This window comes from Homo sapiens, chromosome 14, assembly GCF_000001405.40.
Source record: "Homo sapiens chromosome 14, GRCh38.p14 Primary Assembly".
Classification (NCBI taxonomy): Eukaryota; Metazoa; Chordata; class Mammalia; order Primates; family Hominidae; genus Homo; species Homo sapiens.
In genome coordinates, this window is record NC_000014.9 from 55544232 (window position 1) to 55551059 (window position 6828).

General features: G+C 36.1%; 1 pseudogene; it reads left to right on the forward strand.

Annotated features, from left to right (window-relative positions):
• On the forward strand, positions 2328 to 6132 carry ABI1P1 (abl interactor 1 pseudogene 1; annotated as a pseudogene).

Below are 6828 nucleotides of genomic sequence, written 5' to 3' on the forward strand. Positions count from 1 at the left end.
CAAAAAAACTATAATCGATAAGCTAAGGGTTTTAATGATAAAAGTAGACAACATGGAATAGACAAATAACATAAACAGAGAGATGAGTATTCTAAAAAAATGCTAGAGATATGAAAAGACTGTTACAGAAATGAAGAATGCCTTTGATGGGCTCATTAGAGACTGGATATGGCTAAGGAAAGAATCTCTGAGCTAGAGGATATGGCAATAGGAACTTGTAAAACTGAAAAGCAGAGAGAAAAAAGACTGAAAAATCAGAACACAATATTCAAAACTGTGGGACAACTACAGAAAGTATAGCATATACATAAATGGGAATACCAGAAGGATAAGAAAGGAACAGAAGCAATATTTGAAGCAATAAAGACTGAGAATTTCCCCAAATTAATGTCAGACACCAAAGCACAGATCCAGGAAGCTCAGAGAACATCAAGCAGGATAAATGCCAAAAAAAAAAAAAAAAAAAAAATTACAACTAAACATATTATATTCAAATTTCAGATGAAGACAAAGAAAAATTTGAAAAGAGCCAGAGAAACAATAATCTCCCTTTTGAGGAAGAAAGATAAGGATTACATATGACCTCTCCACAGTAACCATGCAAACAAGAAGAGAATGGAGTAAAATATTTAAAAGTACTAAGAGGAGGAAAAAAAATCCACCAACCGGCTGGGCGTGGTGGCTCATGCCTATAATCCCAGCACTTTGGGAGGCTGAGGCCGGTGGATCACCTGATGTCAGGAGTTCGAGACCAGCCTGGCCAACATGGTGAAACCCTGTCTCTACTAAAAATAAAAAACTTAGCTGGGCATGGTGGCGCATGCCTGTAATCCCAGCTACTCGGGAGGCTGAGGCAGGAGAATCACTTGAACCTGGGAGGCAGAGGTTGCAGTGAGAGATCATGCCACTGCTCTCCAGCCTGGCCCACAGAGCAAGACTTTGTCTCAAAAAAAAGAAAGAAAGAAAAGAAAAGAAAAGAAACCAACTTACATAATGATAAAAGGGTCAGTATTCCAAGAAGACATAATAATCCTTAATATGTATGCACCTAACTATAGGACATCAAAATACATAAAGTGAAAACTGATAGAATTGCAAGGAGAAATAGATGAACCCACTATTATAGTTGGAGATTTTAACACCCCTGTATCAGAAATGGACAAATACAGCAGACAGAAAATCAGTAAGTACATAGTTGAACTTAACAGCACCATCCATCAACAGGATATAGTTGGTATCTGTAGATTACTTCATCCAATAACAGGAGAAGATAGATTCTTCTCAAGATTCCATGGAACATTCACCAAGGCAGACCCATTTAATTTTTAACAAATTAAAAAGAATAAAAATCATACAATATCTCCTCTCAGACCACAATGAAATTAAACTTAGAAATCAATAACAGAAAGATATCTGGAAAATCCCCAAATACTTGGAGATTAAACACTTCGAAATAACACATAAGTCAAAAAAGAAATCTCAAGAAAAATTAAAAAATATTTTGAACTAAATGAAAGGAAAATACAACTTATCAAAATTTGTGGGATGCAGTGAAAGCAGTGCTTAGAAGGAAACTTATAGCATTAAATAAATATATTAGAAAAGAAGAAAAATCTACAATCAATCATCTAAGCTTCCACCTAAGTAAACTAGAAAAGGAAGAGCAAATTAAATTCGAAGTAAACAGAAGAAAAGAAATAATAAACATTTGAGCAGCAATCAATGAAACTGAAAACAGGAAGTCAATAGAGAAAGTCAATAAAATCAGTTTTTACAAAAAAGCTAGTTTTTTGTAAAGGTCAACAAAAGTAATAAGCCTCTAGCCAAGCTAAGAAAAATAGAGAGAGAACAAAAATGACTAATATCAGAAATGAAAAAGAGTACATGACTGCAGATCCCATAGATATTATTAATACATGGATGATAAAGGAATATTATGAACAGTTCTATATCCAGAAATTTGATAACCTAGATAAAAATGGACCAATTTCTTGAAAGACACTATCTGCCAAAACTCATGCAAGAAGAAATAGATGATCTGAATAGACTTGTGTCTACTACATAAATTGAATCAATAGTTAATAACCTTCCAAAACAGAAAGCCCAGATGGGTTCACTGGTAACTTTGCCAAACATTTAAGGAAGAAATTACATTAATTATTTACAGTCTCTTCTAGAAATAGAAGCAGAAGTAGTACTTCTTTACTCATTCTGTGAGGCCATAATTATCTTACTACCAAAATCAGACAAAGGCATTACAAGAAAACTACAGATATATCTCTCATGAACATAGATACAAAAATCCTCAACAAAATATTAACAAATTGACAATACCAGGTGGCAAGGTGGTTTGGATCCAGGCTATGAGGTGCTGGGAGCCTCAGTAGAACTTTCTGCCTCTGTTTCTTTAATGCAAGAGGAACCGATACAGAAGGGTGGAAAATGGCAGAGCTGCAGATGTTACTAGAGGAGATCCTGTCTCACAAGAGGGCACTGATAGAGAGTTACCAGAACCTGAACCAGGTGGCGAACTACTGTGAAGACAAGAGAAAAGCTTTAGAAGAGACCAAAGCCTACATAACCGGACCTCCAGTTAGTGTCACTTATCAAAAAACTACAGTGTCTAACAATGTACTCCAGTTGGTGAACATCCAAGCCTTTCAACTTTGAAGAATGGAGTCTTTCATCAATCATATCTCACAGATCATGGATATTAATAAAGAGAAAGTAGCTCGAAGAGATATTGGTATTTGGACAACAAATAAGACTACATCAAGAATTCACAAAATAATAGCGCCTGCAAATATGGAGCGTCTTATAAGGTATGTTTGGATACCTATTGCCTACACAGTTCTGAATGATGTGAACCATGGTGCCAAGCATGTAAATAACCAGCCTGCAAGAATTGGCACACTGCCAGCCAGGCGCAGTGGCTCACACCTGTAATCCCAGCACTTTGGGAGGCCAAGGTGGGTGGATCACCTGAGGTCAGGAGTTCACGACCAGCCTAGCCAATGTGGTGAAACCCTGTCTCTACTAAAAACACAAAAAATTAGCCAGGTGTGGTGGCGGGTGCCTGTAATCCCAGCTACTCGGGAGGCTGAGGCAGGAGAACTGCTTGAACCCGGGAGGCGAAGGTTACAGTGAGCTGAGATCGTGCTACTGCACTCCAGCCTGGGTGACAGAACAAAACACTGTCTCAAAAAAAAAAAAAAAAAAAAAAAGAATTGGCACACTGCCAAGAACAAGAGCAAATCCTTCTTTCCAAAACCACCAAGTCCTCTCGTATGAGGCCAGGGATTACTGGGACAGAATACTCCTTATAAAACCCTGGAACCCATTAAACCCCAACTGTTCCTAATGACTATATGATGCATCCTGCTAGGTTTGGAAGTCATCATAGTCCAGGCAGGTCAGCTTCATTAAATCAGAAACCAAGGCAGACAATGAAAGTAGTGGAGGAAGGGAAGTCAAGAAAACAGAGGAAGCAGTAGTGTTAGTATTCACATAGCTGTACCTATACCTTCACCCCCTATTATTGGATAGTTTAACTCCTCCACCACCGACACCACCAGATAATGTTCTCATGTTTGATGACTTTCCACCTCCACCATCACCCACTCCAGTGGATTATGAAGACGAGGAGGCTGCAATAGTTCAGTATAATGTTTCATATGCAGATAAGGATACTGCAAGGTCCCCAAAGAATTATATTGAGAACATCATTGCAGTGTATGATTATACAAAAGACAAGGATGATGAGCTGTCATTTATGGAGGGTGCAGTCATTTATGTTATAAAGAATGTTAATGGCTTATATGAAGGAGTCTTCAATCAGGTGACTGGTCTGTTCCCTGGGAGCTGTGTTGAATCAATCATTCACTATGCCGATTAATTTTTTTTTTTGCTTTTAAAGTAGATTCTTGTTATTACTCAGTCATACTGTGGGACTGTTGTGGTTAACAGAATCATCTTAGTATGTTTTAAAATGTGCTCATATTTTCAGGACATGCTATTTTATTGATATAATTGAATGTCTACCCATAAGCATAAATCTTTGAAGCAGTTTGTGTATTGCTAAACAGCAATTTATACAAGAGGCTGTCCATAACTGATGATGCTTATGTACTTACTTACACATTTCTAACTTTATGACCAGCCTAAATGTTCTGGGGAAGTAGGGTGTAATATTTAACAAATCATGGTTCAGATTGTACATGTTTAGGGCCGCTTGGTTACTAATGAATGCTGTGTCAGACTACTTAAATGCTAAAGTCAGAAAACTTAAATGCTAGTGCTCATCATACTTTCTGTTTAGATTCTCTTATTTTAAAAAATACTGTTTGTTTAAAGCATGCATAAAAATATATGTTTTGGAATATACTTAAAAGTTCCAAGATGCTTCCAGTTTGTGTAATATTTCCCTGGAGGACTCATACTTAGGTATCTTAAAATGAGTTGAATCTCCAAGGTCTTCATGAAACAAAAGAAGCAAATGGAGGGTTATCTGTAGTGCTGTAATTTGTACCTAAGTTTTTTAAGGAGTGGGATTTACATTATAATTTTTTTCCACTCATAAATATATAACTGAACCAAAGGTTTTTGTTTTTCTTTCACTGATTTGCTTTAAAAAAATAAACGATAGTGACTTATTGTAGAAGTACAGTTCTATTTTCTCAATATATTAACTTGGAAAAAATTGTAGCCTTATCTCAATTTGTCCCAACAACAATGTGATGAATTTTTATAGATTCAAAATCTGAGATGACTATTTAGAAGTTAATCTACTGAATTCCATTTTTAAATAACCATTTTTTTTTTTTGAGATGGAGTCTCACTCTGTTGCCAGGCTGGAGTGCAGTGGCACAATCTTGGCTCACTGCAACCTCTGCCTCCTGGATTCAAGCGTTTGTCCTGCCCCAGCCTCCTGAGTAGCTGGGACTACAGGTGTGCACCACCATGCCCAGCTAATTTTTGTATTTTTAGTAGAGACACGGTTTCACCATGTTGGCCAGGATGGTCTCGATCTCCTGACCTCGTGATCCTCCCACCTCGGCCTCCCAAAATGCTGGGATTACAGGTGTGAGCCACCATGCCTGGCCTTAAATAAACTTTTAAAGCTAAGAGAATTTGCCAAAGTGTGCACAATCATTTTGTAGGTAAAATTCTTGAAGATTGTCACATCATTCCTTCAGTTTTACAGTGGACTGTGGTATACCAATTCAACAAAAGGTAATTATAAGGGTCTTTTACATATTGTAAAACTGGATGTAATTGACTTGTGAATAGGCACTATTTATTCCATTTCCTGACGCTAACAACATTAAGGTTTTAAAATAAAATAATTGGGAAAGAAGGTAGATCAGGTATTATTCTGTGAACAGAGATATACCTAACCAACAGATTTGTATTGTCCTTTGACATAATTGAAATGTAACACATGTACTTTGTGTGTCTTCTCTTAATTTAAGGCAGGGCTAAAGGAGTGTTTTCTCTTGTTATCGTGTATGTAATTCTATATTGCTTAGGATATTAAAGTAGAACACTCAAGTGTGAGTTTTGGTGTATTGAGGATTTGTTTGGATTTCAAATTATGGTTGTATACTGGATGTTACAGACTTATAACAGCATAATGAACGGTAAGACTAGTGCAAAACATTTATTTTTGAAAATTAAAGGCCATTATTGCTGCCAAATCAATGTGATTGTTTTAACTTTAAACAAAGTGTCATTAGTGATCAGTTAGCTGTCTTCTGCTTTTCATTTTTCAAGTGGATTGTTCTCTTAATTTATATACAAACTTTTTGTCTAAATTTTACATAGTCTTTTTTAATAAACCATTCTCCTGTATGAAATTTGGGATAGTGTTAAAATACAACTAATGTGGACTTAAATGCAGACTTCACAATTTTCTAATCTTCACCCTGTGGTGAAATAACACAAACCATTTGAATTTTAACATTAATTATTTATTTGTGTAATGGCTTTACATGTGAATATTAGTAGTGTAAACATACCACATATAACCACCAAGATATCTTAATTAGAATTTATAGGACTAGAATGATAGGACTAGATTCATATGGCTTAATTACATTTTTAACAATTTCTGAAAAAACTTTGCCAAGAAAATATTACTCATTAAAAAATTAGCAAATTGAGTCTAACAATGTTCAAGTGGGATTTATCTCAGGTATGCAAGGTTGGTTCAACACTTGAAAATCAATTAATGTAACTCATCACAACAGATAAAAGGGGAAAAATCATAAGATCATATCAATAGATGCAAAAAAAAGTGATAAAATCTATCATCAATTCATGATAAAAGCTCTTAGCAAATGAGGAATAAGGGGGAACATCTACAACTTGATAAAGAACAGCTATAAGCCAGGTGTGGTGGTGTGTGCTTGTAGTCCCACCCACTCGGGATCAATTGAGCCTGGGAGGTGGAGGTTGCTGTGAGCAGAGATCATACCACTGCTCTCTAATGTGGGTGACAGAGTGAGACCCTTGTCTCAAACACACACACACACACACACACACACCACAGCTACAAAAAACTTATAGCTAACAACATACTTATGGTGAGAAACTTATTGTCAAAGGATAGACAAAGAGATCATGGGCAAGAATAGAAAGCCCAGAAATAGACCCACATAAATATAGTCAAAAGGAGCAAAGGCAAGACAATGGAGCTGTTAGGATTATTAGTTTAATATCCTAAATTAAATATCCTATAATACAATATAAAGACAGTCTTTATAAGAAATGATGCTGGAGCAACTGGACACCTACATGGATAAAAATTAATCTAGACCGAGATTTTAT